The sequence below is a fragment of the Homo sapiens genome, chromosome 9, assembly GCF_000001405.40.
Source record: "Homo sapiens chromosome 9, GRCh38.p14 Primary Assembly".
NCBI lineage: Eukaryota > Metazoa > Chordata > Mammalia > Primates > Hominidae > Homo > Homo sapiens.
Window position 1 is genome coordinate 34,511,169 of NC_000009.12, and position 14,567 is coordinate 34,525,735.

The 14,567-nt window shown below is 53.6% G+C and overlaps 2 protein-coding genes across 3 annotated transcripts in view, besides 4 other annotated features; one reads left to right on the top strand and one right to left on the bottom strand.

Moving 5' to 3' along the window:
• Positions 1-9,816, top strand: part of DNAI1 (dynein axonemal intermediate chain 1) — a 62,180-nt gene extending 52,364 nt beyond the window's left edge. For both annotated transcript variants that reach the window (NM_001281428.2, NM_012144.4), the window contains exons 14-20: positions 941-1,030; positions 1,169-1,256; positions 1,944-2,023; positions 3,226-3,374; positions 3,472-3,571; positions 6,117-6,299; positions 9,490-9,816. In NM_001281428.2, coding sequence (NP_001268357.1) covers positions 941-1,030; positions 1,169-1,256; positions 1,944-2,023; positions 3,226-3,374; positions 3,472-3,571; positions 6,117-6,299; positions 9,490-9,588 — 789 coding nt within the window. In that variant the 3' untranslated portion in view covers positions 9,589-9,816. The remainder of the gene's footprint in view (positions 1-940; positions 1,031-1,168; positions 1,257-1,943; positions 2,024-3,225; positions 3,375-3,471; positions 3,572-6,116; positions 6,300-9,489) is intronic.
• Positions 1,549-2,301: an enhancer, noted in NCBI's record as "H3K27ac-H3K4me1 hESC enhancer chr9:34512715-34513467 (GRCh37/hg19 assembly coordinates)". NCBI's record gives its function as "activates a minimal SCP1, AML or CMV promoter by ChIP-STARR-seq in naive H9 embryonic stem cells {active_cell/tissue: H9 hESC(naive)}" and the evidence as "EXISTENCE:reporter gene assay evidence [ECO:0000049][PMID:30033119]".
• Positions 9,875-11,822, bottom strand: ENHO (energy homeostasis associated). The gene is made up of 2 exons (NM_198573.3): positions 11,609-11,822; positions 9,875-10,688 (listed from the first exon to the last, which is right to left on the bottom strand). Exon 2 carries the CDS (start codon positions 10,525-10,527, stop codon positions 10,297-10,299), a length of 231 nt encoding a protein of 76 aa, NP_940975.2. The 5' UTR covers positions 10,528-10,688; positions 11,609-11,822; the 3' UTR covers positions 9,875-10,296.
• Positions 10,566-11,118: an enhancer, noted in NCBI's record as "H3K4me1 hESC enhancer chr9:34521732-34522284 (GRCh37/hg19 assembly coordinates)". NCBI's record gives its function as "activates a minimal SCP1, AML or CMV promoter by ChIP-STARR-seq in naive H9 embryonic stem cells {active_cell/tissue: H9 hESC(naive)}" and the evidence as "EXISTENCE:reporter gene assay evidence [ECO:0000049][PMID:30033119]".
• Positions 11,748-11,857: a silencer, noted in NCBI's record as "silent region_19847". NCBI's record gives its function as "represses an Ori minimal core promoter by ATAC-STARR-seq in GM12878 lymphoblastoid cells {active_cell/tissue: GM12878}" and the evidence as "EXISTENCE:reporter gene assay evidence [ECO:0000049][PMID:35858748]".
• Positions 11,878-12,247: a silencer, noted in NCBI's record as "silent region_19848". NCBI's record gives its function as "represses an Ori minimal core promoter by ATAC-STARR-seq in GM12878 lymphoblastoid cells {active_cell/tissue: GM12878}" and the evidence as "EXISTENCE:reporter gene assay evidence [ECO:0000049][PMID:35858748]".

Below are 14,567 nucleotides of genomic sequence, written 5' to 3' on the forward strand. Positions count from 1 at the left end.
TCTGGGCACCCAGCCCCACCCCAGCTCTCTGGGACATGGCTTGGCCAGGCCTCCACATCTGGCAACAGAAACTTGAGTCTCAAGCGTGTCATCTTCATAAGACAACAGCTCTGTCTCCAAAACACTTTCCCATATGTTTGCTTCCAGCCCTGAGAAGATGGGTGGGGCAGGATAATTAACCCTGATTTGCAGTTGGAGAAATGCAACTCAAATCTGGGACTGGGAGCAAAGTTCTGGGAGCAGGAGTTAGTAGCAAAGGAAAGGTGGGAAAGAGGAGACACTTCCTAGAGAAAGGCCAAGCCTGGAAGAGGTGGGCAGGAGACGGGGGCCTGCTCCTCTTCACCCCCCACTAGCAAGCAGGGAAAGGCCCCTGCAGAACCTTGGCACCCAGATTCCGAGGATGATGGTAACAATGAGGACATTAGCTAACATGTATCGAATACTTCATATGTGCAATGTTCTGACGTAAGGGCTTCACATATAGTATCTCATTTATTTCTCATAACAAACCTATGCTATTATGACTCCTGTTTTATAAACAGGAAACTGGTTGATGGGCCCTGTTCTTTCCAGGCCATGTTTATTTATGCAAGGTGGTTGAAGCCGTAGCCACTGCCTTCTCCCCACAGTGGAGCTCCTGGAACCCAACCCAGGGAGGGATTGGGTACCTCCACTGCCAAGCCAGTAAATTAAGGCAATGCTTTGACTGGCACTATTGCTCCAGGATGGTCAAGAAAGGAATGAGAAATCCCCAAGAAAGGAATGAGAGACAGAGATGGATGGAAGGAGGGAGAAAGGACCAATCATGGGATTCTGGGAAATGGGCTCCCAGAAGTTGCTTCTGAGCCTCAGATGGGTGCTTGGGGGAGCCCTGCTCTGCCCACAGCCCTAACTCAACACTTTAGCAGGGTCCCAGAGCTCACATTTTGGGATGTTTCAGGTCAAGTGGCAGAAGGATGACATGGACCAAAACCTTAACTTCTTCTCTGTGTCATCTGACGGCAGGATTGTGTCTTGGACTCTCGTGAAGGTGCCTATTTCCCAGAGAGGGTCACACTGGGGTGATTGGGGAGGCAGGGAGCTAAATGGCAAAGGGCAACCCCCAGCCTTGCTCATCTAGCCCAACCCACGTGCCCTCCCCCCCACATCCCTCTGTCTGTGGCTACAGAGAAAGCTGGTTCACATAGATGTCATCAAGCTGAAGGTGGAAGGCAGCACCACGGAAGTTCCTGAGGGGTTGCAGCTGCACCCAGTGGGTAGGAGCCCCAGCCCTCTCACCTCCAGGCCTGGCCAGGTCATTCAGGCCCAGTGAGGGTCAGTGACAGTGGTCCTTCCCCTGACTGAGTGCTCCCTCCCCAACCTGTGCCAGGGCCTGACAGGAGATTGTAGGAAGGCCCGGCCCTGTCTGCTGAACCCTTGGCTGTTTGTAGACCCTCCCTGTTTATGCAGTTCCCATCCCTGTGTTTGCAGACCCTGTTCCTGTTTATGCAGATCAGGTGCTGTTATGCAGATCCAGCCCTGTTTATGCAGATCAGGCCCCTGTTTACCCAGATCCTGTCCCTGTTTACTCAATTCCTACCCTGTTTATGCAGACTATATCCCTGTTGGCACAGACCGTGTCCCTGTTTGCAGACCCTGTCCCTGTTTACCCTGACCCTGACCCTGTTTAACTCAATCCCTGCCTTGTTTACCCAGGCCCCCATTCCTGTCTGCAGAACCCCTGGCCGTTTGCAGAATCCTAACTGCCTGGGACAAGCAGGCCAGAGGGCTGGTTTCTGTTTGCCTGGCCTGGTCCCAGCCCTTACAGGGGCCCTAGTTCAGTCTGTCCTGCGCTGAGTCCTGCGCTGAGAGTGCCTGGGCTGAGCTCCTCTGCTGAGTAGGGGAGGCACTGGGAGCCTCCCTCTTGGAACTGGGCTAAGCCTGCCCCTCCCTCTTTTCCCAAGGTTGTGGCACTGCCTTTGACTTCCACAAAGAGATTGACTACATGTTCCTAGTGGGCACAGAGGAGGGAAAAATCTACAAGGTGAGGCTGCCCTGTGCCAGCTCCTTAGAAGGCCGCTTAGACCTGAGCACCTGGGGAGCTTAGAGTTCTCAACAGATCCTATTTTGATGGATTTTAGTTCCCGTCAGTTCTAGAAGGCCTCTTGAGGGAAGAGAATGTATTTCTTGACCTGCTTGGGTGATAGGAATAAGGGCTAAATGCAGGAAAGGGGATGGAGAATCTAGAGGGTGACTTTAGCCCAGCTCAGCATCTTTTCCTCCGGGCCCTCCCTCCCTTCCTGGGAGTTGAGGTAGAAGGGGGGATTCGGAGGAGTTAGAATATTTTGGGAAAACTTCCTGGAGGAGATTTGTACTTGAGCTGAGCTTGGAAGGCCAGAATTATCTCTGAATACTGGGTACATCCCAGCCAGCAGGATGGAACCTCACGGTCAGTTTCTACAAGGTCTCAGTGGTAGTAGGTGAACGTCCTTCTGAACTTCCATCCATCCAGAAATAGCTCTGCTGCAAGCTTTTCTTAGGCTCAGAGACTCAGAATGTTAATTACAGGCAGCCTCTTGGGAGCCCCTGAGGCCCAGCCAGAGCTGGTCTGAATGCAAAAGAAGTCCCCACCCCCTCTTCACCCCTCCCACTGGCAGCCCAGGAGAGGCAGGAGTAACAAGAGATTACTCAGTCACACTGTCTTCTGGAGGGAGGGAGAAAGGGGCATGCTGGTCAGGGCAAAAAACTGAATAGGAAAGCTGGAGATCCAAGTCAGCTTCTGGCTCTGCACCTGCTCTTGCCTGGACAAGGTGGGATGTTATCACTGTTGCAAGGATGATGTCTGGGCTGCAGGTGGAACCAGGGCTCTGTTTGTCCACAGGTCCTGGCCTGGAAGATGGCCAGACCACACCTCACTCAGGGCCTGAGACCTGCTCTGCCCTCTCTTAAGGAGAGAAGGCTTTTTCTGTCTGGCCTGGAATCCTCTGGGGTCAGGGCACTACAGCCCTTTCCTTCATCCTGCAGGAAGTCTCCCCTGCCCATCCTGAACCCCCAGATCCTCAAGCCCTTCCTTTCCCCCAGGGTGTGCTGAGGGTGGGAAGGGCAGCCAGGAGCTTGGCCCCAGTTCAGCTGGGATGCGATGTGGGTTAAGGACAGGAGTCTAAGGCTCTGATCCTCCAGACCCCCAGGGAAGTGGTGGCTGCTGACCTTTCTCTCACTTCTGACCCCCGTTCCCTCCCCGACCAGTGCTCTAAATCCTACTCCAGCCAATTCCTCGACACCTATGACGCCCACAACATGTCAGTGGACACTGTGTCCTGGAACCCATACCACACCAAGGTCTTCATGTCCTGCAGCTCCGACTGGACAGTGAAGATCTGGGACCACACCATCAAGTGAGGGGCCTGTTCCTGGCTCTGCCTGGGGCCCTCCCCTGGGCTATGGCACTGTGAGCCCTCTGTGCCATGGGCTTTCCACCCTCCACCTCTGCAGGACCCCGATGTTCATCTATGACCTGAACTCAGCCGTGGGTGATGTGGCCTGGGCGCCATACTCTTCTACTGTGTTCGCAGCAGTCACCACAGATGGGAAGGTGAGTGCCAGCGTCCTGACTTCACTGAGTCCCTACTGGAGATCAGGTGTGTTATCTCAGGGGCTTCCTGATGGAGAACCCATCCCATGCCTAGGTCAGGAAGGAGAAGGCGGGACATAAGGACTGTGTATTTTCCAGGGGCAAGCCATCCAGGGTCCAGCCAAAAGAGGAATCATTCATCCCATGAGGCTTCAGGGAGGAAACAGAGCTGTTCACCTTGGAGGAGAAAGCACTCTGGGGGATGAGATGCCATGGAGCAGTTATTTCCTCTGCTGTATGGTGGAGAGCTAGAGGGTGGCAGGGCCCGGCTCCATCTAAGGAAAAATGTATGAGCCAGAGTTGATCAGTGACTGAATAGTGTCTATAATGTAGTGAAGTCTCCATCCCCGGGAGTGTGCAAGCTGATTCTGAGGGAACTTCAGTGGGGTGGAATGGGAGGGGGCTATTCAACACTGAGAATTGGTGAGAGCTCAGAAACAAACATCTTGTGAGCATATTCTTGAATGCAAACCCATTTTCCCTATGGACTTTGATATAAACTGAGAAGCACTGGCTGCCCCAAGGAAAGAATGCAGCGATGAAGGCACCATTCTAAAGTCCGTCAGTCATCTCTTCCTGGAACAGATAACTACTAAGGGCCAACGATGGTGCCCAGCTCTAGGCTGGACCCTGGTGGCTTAGATACCTGCTCTTGTGGAGCTTATGTTCTAGTGAAGGGAAAGATACAAAAAGCAACAACAAAATTCCCAGTGTTCTAGGCAGAGAATTATTAATAAAAGACTGTGATATGTAAACATAAATGTTCATGGCAGCATTACTCATAACAGTCAGAGTGGCAACAACCCAGTGTCCATCAACTGCTGAATAGATAAACAAAATATAGTCTCTCCTTGGGGATTATGTCAGCAAGGACAAGGAATGATGTGCTGATACATGCTACAACATGGAGGAACCTTGACAACATGCTTAGCGTAAAAAGCCAGTCACAAAAGACCACATACTGTATAATTCCACTTCTATAATACATCCAAAACAGGCAAATTTGTAGAGATGGAAAGTCAATTTGTGTGGCCTAGGGTGGTGAAAATGTTCTAAAATCGGTTGTAGAGAAGGTTGCATAACTGTGAATATACTAACACCAAGAATTTGATGCTTTAAATGAGTGAATTTTATAGTATATGAATTATATCTCAATAAAGTTGTTACATTAAAAGAAGAAAGATAGGTTCACAAAGGCCAGGCAATGAAAAAGAAAAAAAGAAAAAGAAAAAATAAAAGGACTGGGTGGTCTGTTGGATACAGTGGTCAGGAAAGGCTTCTTTGAAGAGGTGACACGCACGCTGAGAGTTGACTGGCAAGAAGGAGGCAGCCATGTGGAGATAGGGCAGGGGAGCAGCCCATGGTGAGGGAGCAGCTGGGGCAGATGCCCTGAGGTGGGAACCAGCTTGGGGTTTAAGGAACAGGAAGGCAAGTGTGGTTGGGGTAGAGTAAGCAAGGGGCGAGAACATGAGGTGAGAGTGGGGAGGTGGGCTAGAGTGTGGGATCTGGATTTTATTTATAGTGCCAAGGGAGACTGTGGGAGGATTTTAAGTGCTTTAAAGGTAAGCCTACTGCCATATGGAGGATGGATTGTAACAAGGCAAGAGTGGAAGCGGGGAGACCAGTTAAGAGGCTGCCACAGTTGTCCAGGTGAGAGTTGGTAGTGGTTTGGTCTGAGGGTGTGGTGAAGGTAGCATCCAACATGGAATGAGCACTGGTATGTCAAGCACTGTCCTTGCACTTTACATATATTAACTGGTGTAAGCCCTGGCTCTGCCACTTACTAGCAGGTTAGCCTCTAAGAGCCTCTAACTCCTCCGTTATAAAATAAAGATAATGACAGAACCACCTTACAGAGTGGTTGTGAAGAGCATAATGAGGTGATGCAACCGTATGATGTGCTTGCCCAGAGTCTAGTACATAGTGAGTGCTCAACAAATGGTAGCTGCTATTTTCTTTTCTTTTCTTTTTTTTTTTTTTTGAGACAAGATCTCACTCTTGCCCAGGCTGGAGTACAGTGGCTCCATCTTGGCTCACTGTAACCTCCGCCTCCCAGGTTCAAGTGATTCTCCCATCTCAGCCTCCCTAGTAGCTGGGACTACAGGCATGCACCACCACGCCCATCTAATTTTTTGTATTTTTGGTAGAGACAGGGTTTCACCATGTTGGCCAGCCTGGTCTCAAACTCCTGACCTCAAGTGATTCACCCACCTTGGCCTCCCAAAGTGCTGGGATTACAGGCGTCAGTGAGCCACCACGCCCAGCCTATAGCTGCTATTATTAATTCTCCATAGATTTAAAATTTCTCCTAAACTTTTTAATTCTCACTCTTTCAACCATAGGAAAAACACAGAGACACAAAATTCCCCCTCCCTCCACCTCCAGCTCCAGTGTGCTAGCCATTAGCCTTCTACAGTCTTTCCCCAGGAAGTCCAGGGACTCATTCCTCTGAGGTGGAAGACAGGCCTCATTACCCCTGAGTGTGCTGACACCGACCTCTCCACAGGCCCACATATTTGACTTAGCCATCAACAAGTATGAGGCCATCTGCAACCAGCCTGTGGCGGCCAAAAAGAACAGGCTCACCCACGTGCAGTTCAATCTCATCCACCCCATCATCATTGTGGGCGATGACCGTGGGCACATCATCAGCCTCAAGCTCTCACCCAATTTGCGCAAGATGCCAAAGGTACAGGCTCTGGGACTTTGAGCTGCTGCAAGACGTAAAGTCTCCAGGAGGGTGGGGATGACAGAAGGGAGAAGCCAGGGTGACCACCCAGTTTCTGATGTGGGAGACCCAGGGTAAGGATGGTGTCATTGCCTGAATGAGGCTCACAGTAGAAGCAGGTTTGTGAGAAAACAGCAGTTTGACATGCTGCATTTGAGTTACCTGTGGGGCCCCAGGTGACTTTCCCAGGTGGAGACATCCAATGAGCAGGTGGATCTGAAGCCTGCAGAGGCAAATGTGGAGGTATCATTGATTTCTTCCCAGTGGAAATGCTGTGGGTAGGACAGGTCACCCAGGCAGGGGGCCTGGGGCTGAGCCACTGCCTCATTGACTGGGCTTTCACAGGGCTTCAGCCCCAGTGGTCCCTGAGCTGGGAGCTGTGGGTCTACACAGAGAGGAAGGAAATGAGCCGCAAGGAGAGTAACTAGGTCAGCAGCTATGCAGCCCTCCTTCTGAGCTCTGGTTCCTGTTTCTAGGGTCTCCAATGATCAGGAGACCCTGCCCAGAGGCCAAGGGCCCCAAATACAGGTCTGGAGCCCAGAGCGATGACCTTAAAGTCTAGATCTGAGTCCAGATCCAGACTTATGAACCCAGGCTTTGCAGCCCGGGCCTTGGAATCCTGAGCCCAAGAACCCAGAGCCCAGTCCTGCCCATTTGTGTGCTAAGAGTAGAGATGGCTCTTTGCTTTCTGCCAGGTTCTGGGCCAGGATCAGGACTGGGCCAGCTTGCCCTAATGACCATCCCTCCTGGCAATTTGAGGCATTTACTGCAGTTTGAGGCAGTGGCAGGGGCCTGTGTCTTTCGACTACTGTCTTCCCTGCACTGTGCTCCTACCAAGGAAGGGACTGCGGCACCATCCCTCTGGTGCTGGCTTGGCCTGTTCCCCACCATGGCCAGGGAGGCAAGGGCTGGGAGTGTGGCTGGCCCTGTAATTGTAGCCAGCTGGGGGAGAGGGTGGACTTGGCTATAAATACTCAAAAGGCTGCTAAGCGCCTGCAGCTGTGGCCCAGAGGCTGTGGTGGGCTTGAGGGGAGGGAGGGAGTCGGGCGTGGTCTGAATCTCTTTGCTGAGCCCAGCTAGTTGGCCTCAAGGAGGAGGAAGGAGGAAGCATAATTTGTGGAATAGATAAAATGTGTTCTTAATTTTCTGAGGAGAGAGACCCAGGTTGAAGCTGGCAGAGTTGGACAACCCTCCAGGAGGGATGATGGTCATTCTTTGGGGGAGGAGTACAGCCATGACACCATGAGGGTGGTAGACATGGGTGGGAGCCTGCCCTGCCCACTCTGATCCAGGGAGGTAAGCATCTCCCATAGTTTCAGTTCCCCTCAGAGAAGGGTCAGACATGGGTGGGAGCCTGCCCTGCCCACTCTGATCCAGGGAGGTAAGCATCTCCCATAGTTTCAGTTCCCCTCAGAGAAGGGTCAGACATGGGTGGGAGCCTGCCCTGCCCACTCTGATCCAGGGAGGTAAGCATCTCCCATAGTTTCAGTTCCCCTCAGAGAAGGGTCAGTCATGGCTGGGAGAGCTGGGCTGTGTGTATCTGGGGACCTACGTCTCTGAGGACCTGAGAAGGGACAGGTGGGGGCTGGTGGGTACTTGAGTGGATTAGAGGTTCCCGTGAAATTGCCATCTGACCCTATCAGCCAAGTGATTCATGCAAAACAAAATCCTCTGGGCATCCCTACTGCCCTTCCTCTGTGAGCTGCAGACTCCCTGCCCTTTCCAAATGGCTTCCCCACAGAGGTCTGGACCTCCCTGCCCAGGGAGCTCCCATGATGGGTGTCAAGAGCCCAAAGAGTCCAAGGCCAAAGACTGTCTTTCCCTAACTACAGGATAGATGGGAAACTGAAGCTCAGAAAGGCAAAGGCCTTGCCCAAAGTCATATAGGGAGTTAATGACAGAGCTGGAACTAAAACCAGGTCCCCTAACTCCCAGGGGATGGGGTGAAGCCAAGAAGAGAACCCAAGCTTAATTTAGGAAGGAGAGAGGGAAGAGAGAGAAAAAGAGCTTTTTTGTGCTCTGCCTGCAGAGGGTAGAGGTGAGCTAGGTAGTGGCAAAAAGGCACTGGGCTGCAAGCGGATAGGGGAGAAAATTTGGGAGCAGGTATGGGGTCACAGCAGGGGGAAATCTGAGCTCCACATGGTGACAGCAGCCAAAAAGGAGCCAGGGAAGGGCCTACTGGCCCTGCACTCACCCCTCCCCATCCCCTTTACAGCCCTGGCCAGACCAAGGTAAGGCTGGGGTAGGTGTCAGTGAGCAGTGGGCACAGGTGGCTGAGAGGATGGGGGCCCAGGAGCACAGCGAAGGCAGGAAATGGGGAAATGGCAACTGCCCAGCCTGCCCCAGCACAGCCCTCACCCCCCTGCCTGGACAGCAGGGAGGGTGGGACTGGTGCTGGTCTGCCAAGGAGTTCTCAGGACCTGTGGGTGACACACACTCCAGTGTCCAACTTATAATGGAAGGATTGGAGTGCTTTGCAGGTAGGGTGTTGGGTCATAAACTCAGGATCTGGTCTTCTAAAGGACAACCTCAGCCAACGACACCTGGAGTCACATGGACTATTCCCTCTGCCCTTATGGGTCTCTTGACACTCTTCCCAACCCTGGGTATGTCTGACACAGCAGGTCTCGCCCCAAATAGCACCCACTGCCAACCTGACCTGAAGGCATCAGGTGAGAGGACTAGGTGAGGTCCGGGCCCCTGAGGCTCTGTCCACAGCCCCTCCCTCCCCAAACACATACCCATTAGCTCCTTGATAGGTCTCGGCCAGGGACCTTCCCATGGTAAGGATGGTGCCAGCAGTCAGCCCCCCGCCTTCGCAGAGCTGGATTTCCCTGGCCTGGAAGGTTGTTCCCCTGAGGGTCAGGGAATGGATGCCTTTTCCCACTCCCACAAGCATCAAGACCCCATGTCCATCTGAGGTTCAAGCCAGAGCTGGACTCCTTTTTGCAAGCTGTCAGCTGAGCCCCTGTGTCACCTAACCCGAGTTGGGGAATGATCGTGTCAGGGAGAGGGGAGGCAGGGATCCAGAATTTACTGGGCAGGGGAGGGGTAGGGCACAGCTGGACAGGCTGGGCAGAGGAGGTGGTGCTGGGACCCAGAGAGGGGGGGCCCACCATTCCTCCCTCATGTATACTTTCCCTCTCCCCAGGAAAAGAAGGGGCAGGAGGTGCAGAAGGGTCCAGCTGTGGAGATTGCGAAACTGGACAAACTGCTGAACCTGGTGAGGGAAGTGAAAATCAAGACCTGAGGGGCTGGCCTCAGTCTCTGTCCCATCGCTTGAATACAGTACTCCTAGGGCTTGACCCTGGTACCCAGCCCAGCCTTAGCACCCAGCATGTGACCCCACTCCTGATCAGGTCCCAGCATCTTCCCTTCTTGTTCTGTTCCTTAAGGTCCCAGCACCTTACCCCAGGACTTGGTCTTCAACCACCATTACCCCTCTAACTTTGCACAAATAAACCTGTGTAGAAACCCACCCCACACCTTTAATTGTGCTACCACAGGGCCCTCAGGAAGAGAAGAAAACCTCAGGGTAGAGCCATAGTTCCATTTATTATCCAGCAAACACTGGGAGGACCAGGGGAGGGGCCCAGCCTGGACACCCTCCTATTATTGCCATGGGTTCCAGTTTGCTTCCCCAGCCTAGAGGGCCTAGAGGTGCTCAGCCTAGGGAAAGAGTGGACCCGGCCCCTGACCCTTGGCCCTTGGGATGGAGCATAGTCCAGATGGCCCTGGCTCTAGCACCAACTCATAAGCCCCCACCCCAGGCCCATCTCCTTAGGGCCACTGAGCTCCTATTGGAGCCAAGCTGGCTAGACTCTGGGCCGCTGGGTCCAGCTCCAAGCAGGCGGACTCTTGAGTTCTGGACCCCAGGCTGGCTGAACTCTGGGATCCTAATTCCAGGCTCTAGGTGAGGTGGACTTAGGTCCTGGGCTCCAGGCTAGGCCAGGGGCCTTCAGGGCTGCAGCAGGTAGCTGCCTTCATGGCTGGGCTTCTGGGGTGGTGGGGCCTTCTCAGGACAGGGGCCAGGGCTGGAGTTGGGACTGGATTCAGAGAGAGAGTCAACGTCGGCAGAGCGAGAATGGCAGGCCCAGCAGAGGATGACCCAGAGCAGCAGCAGCAAGAAGCCCACGAGACCGTTGCAGACGATGGCGATGAGGGCCCCCTGGGAGATGGCTGCCCCCATGACAGGCAGCACCCTCAGACCAGCACAGACAGTGGAGCTGCCTCAATGGTGAGGCCCATGCCGAGGCAGGACTCTGGTATGGCCGGCCTTCAGAGGAGGCTGTGCTGTCTGCACGCTCAGTGATTCCTGGGCAGTGGAGATGTCTACCTGCAGTCCTGAGCCTGTTGGGGGTATACAGTAAAGGAGAGGGTGGTGAGGAGGAAGGGTGGGGTGAGGCCTAGGAGGAGAGAGGTAGGGAAGAGAGCCTCCCTCCCACATTTCTGGCCTCCCTGGTGAAAGACCTTGGGTCCCAACAGGCTCGAATACCCCACAGAGCCATCACCCCCATCCACAGGCTTGGTTCTGGCCACCTGAATGAGTGTGTAGCCACCGTGGGGAAGCTGCAGTAGGCAGCCGTCATCTCATTCTCCTTAGACCTGGTGGGCATGCCCTGGTCCTGCCCACCAAGCTTGCAGCCCTCAAAAGCCCTCTGTTGGTGGGTGGGATCCAGGAAGCCCCCAGCCCAAAAGGATGGGGGTTGTAAGCAGCTCTGGTGTGGCCTGGGCGCCTCCTCTCTCCCAGGACTCCAGCCAGCCCGACCAGGAGACCTCCAGAGGCGCCAGCTTGCACAGAGGGAACTTTGTGGAGGCCCTGGCAGGCATGTGCAGGCTCTGTGCGTCCAGGGCTGTGTGCCTCTATGTGGGGCTGCCTCTCTGGGTCAGGTGTGTGTGTGTGTCTGGTGTCTCACTGTCCCTCCGTTGGATGTGTGCCTGTGCCTCTGCACACCCACCTCTGTGTGTGTGGCTGCCTCTCCGTGTGTCCCCATCTCTGAGTATGTCTCCTCTATGTCTCATTTCTCTACCAGTGTGTCTCTGTGTATCTCTGCATCAGTCTCTGTGTCTCTCTCTCTCTTCCAGGCTGTATCCCCCTCTGTTCCCATGGACGTGTCCCTATCCCCTTCTCCGTGGGGTCTTTTCGGTGGTTCCTGTGTCTCTGTCTTTGTGTTCGTCTCTCTCCGCGGCAGTGTGTCTCTGTCTCTTTATCTCCATCTTCGGGTCGCGTGTTCTTGGCCCCCGTGCCCGTGGCGGGAGGCCCTTCTTACCTGAGTTGAGCCTGGTGCGCGCCCGCGGGAGGGTCCGGGGCAGCGGGATGCTCGGCGCCGACTAAGGCTTGGGAGCCTGCGGGCGGGGGGCGGCGGGAGGTGGGAGACCAGCAGAGGCGACGTCCGCTCCCCCGGCCCTCCCCCTCGGCCGCGCAGCCTCCACCGGCCGCTCCCGCCGCGGCGCGACCGGGGCGGCCTCTGCCGCGGGCGGTCTGCGGTGAGCGGGCACCTCCTCCCCTTGGGGCCGCACCTCCTCCGCGGCCGCGGCGCTCGCTCGCTCGGCAGCGCTCGGGCGGCGGCGGCGGGAGCTGCGCGGTGTTCGGCTGGGCTCGGCTGCGTTCGGTTGGGCTCGGCTGGGCTCGGCTACGTTCGGCTGGGCTCGGCCGGGCTCGGCGGCCAGCAAAAACAGCGAAGAGCCTCGCCTCCTGGGAGGCCGGCGGCCTGCGGCCCGGGGGCGGAGCCATCCCAGCGCCGCTGCCGCCACTCAATTGGCTGGCCGAACCCCGGTTCCCGCACCATTGGTGGTGCGCTGAGGTGGGGACCAGCCCGCCTCTCGTGCCGGCGCGGGGCGGGAGGAGGGCCGAAGGAGTAGCTGGCCCTGGATCCTTCCCGGGAGAGGGGATGGGGTGGGGGCAAGGCCTAACCTCTGGTAGGGATTTCTTGCACCTTCTACACCTGGAAGGGTTGTACACCCCACATCCGAGAAAGGCCAAGGCCTCTGCATTTCCACATGTGAGGAAACCACCCCTCTGTATCTGGGAGAGGTCTCTTAAGTAAGTCATCCGGAGGAAGGCCCCGCGTCCCCACACCTGGCAGGAGACTGAATCTCCTCACCTAGGGAACCGCCTATAGTGCAGTCCCGCACTTCCCTCTGCCACCTGGGTGTGGACTCTGCATTCCCACTTTAGAGGGCCCCAGGTTCCCTGGCCCTAAGAGGTGTGAAAATCTCTGGCAACACAGGTTCTTTGGACACATTTACTGAGTTCCTACCCAGTGTTGGTCGCAGGCTTGCTGCCAGGCTGTTGGGGAGTCTGGGACAGAAATGGAGTGTCCTGAGCGATGGTTCTGCCCTGGCTGGAATAGGTGCAGGCGTGGTGGAAATCCTGCCTTGCCATCCTAAAAGCTCCCCTAAGAAGAAGATAGCTTGGACAGGAGCAGTGAGGTAGACCTTGTCCTCCCCGACCTTCACAGGCCAGTGATTGTCACCTATTCTGATCCGGCCGTCTTCTCATCCCGCTCTACATGCTCTCCTTGGAGGATCACATCCCTGAAGCTATATCATGAAGACTCCCAGTGCTCCCAAGTCTAGCCTTAACTTCTCTCTGGAATCCTAGACTCATATAACTAAGTGCCTACTGTAATCGGGGCAGTATTGATTCCTGGTTCACTTACTAACTTTGTGATCTTGAGCAAGTTACTAAATCTCTCTTAGCCTCAGCTTCCTCATCTGTAAAATGGTTGTAATGCTACCTCTCAGGGTTGTTATTCACTAATTTATAGCAGATCGATCACATCTCAGCAAATGCCAGCTGACACAACCCCCAGGACCATGTGACTAAGAGGCCCCTTCCCCCAATCCAATGCCATGAAATTCACATAAGACCCCTGTAAATCCAGATGCTATCTTGAAAGAAGAAAGGGAAGACTGAGTCATCCAAAGCTACCAAAGTACTTAGAGACTGTCTAAAATAAATTATTGGATCCTATAGAGTTTACCAGAGTGGATTACTTTTAGCTCCCCCCCACTGCCCATTACCCAGCAGGGTGAGGGCATTGTGAGAAAGATCAGCCTAGTTATAGGAAACAGAGGAGACTTAAATCATCGCACATCTGAGTGTAATGTGAGCGAATTTTGTGACCCAGCTGCAGGAGTTCAGATTTTATCCTGAAAACAGTGGGGAGCCACTGAAGAATTTTTGAGCAGAAGAGTAATGCGATCATATCCAGAAATTAGTAGGATGATTTGGGCTATGGTGTGGAATGGGGGCTTGAAAGCATTTGAGAGTGAAGGCAAGGATTAATAATAAGGGACTGAAATGATGGAAGGAAAAAGTTGTAGAGAGAAAAGGAGAGCATTGAGGATATTTGGGAGCTGCTGCTGGTGGGACTTAGAGAACTAGAGGATAGGGGAGGTAAGCAGGAAGGAAAAGTCTGGGATGACTCCCGGGTTAGTGACGAGGGATGCTGTGATGCCATTTACTGAATACACAGGTTCAGGAGAGAGGTCCAGGCTAAAGATAATATTTTGTGAGTTGTCAGCAAAAGAATGGTAGTTAAATGAGAAAAATAGATGAGCTCACCCAGGGAGAGAGATAACTAGTTTAAGCAAAAAGATAAATTTATAATCAGATACGGAAACCTAAGGGCAAGGATGACTCAGGAACAACTGAAACTAAGAGATCAAAAGCCACCCAGAAGAGTTCTCTCTCTACCTCTCAACTCTGTTACTTTCTGCCTGCCTCCATTTCCCTCCCCTGTCCCAAGTCCCTGTCCTCCCCATCCCCAGACTGACTTCCAATATGCTTCTAGACCACATGGTAAAAAACGGGACTTCAGACAATTCTAAAGTTTTAAAGCTTGTTGTGTAGGCATCCAAAGAGACTGGCTGCTGCCAGCTCCTCCTCATCCTCCTCATCCTCCTCCTTTCTTTTTTTTTTTTTTTTTTGGTTTGCAAAATTTTCAGGAAATATTTTGATTCAACTTAGATGCTTACCTTTGGACTAATCAATGGTGGTCAAGGGATGAAGATCAAATTGATTAACATGATAACGCTATGGGCAGTGGGGAGGTGGAGGTGGTGGTTTCCAGGGGAAGCAGCATCATAAAGAAGCAAAATGGCAGGTGTCCATACAGTCCACCCTTTGTTTGCCCAACACATATACATCATTTCCTATTATATGATTCCAAAAAGGCCCTCATCTACATAATCCAATCATCCCACGATACAAATGCCAATAAA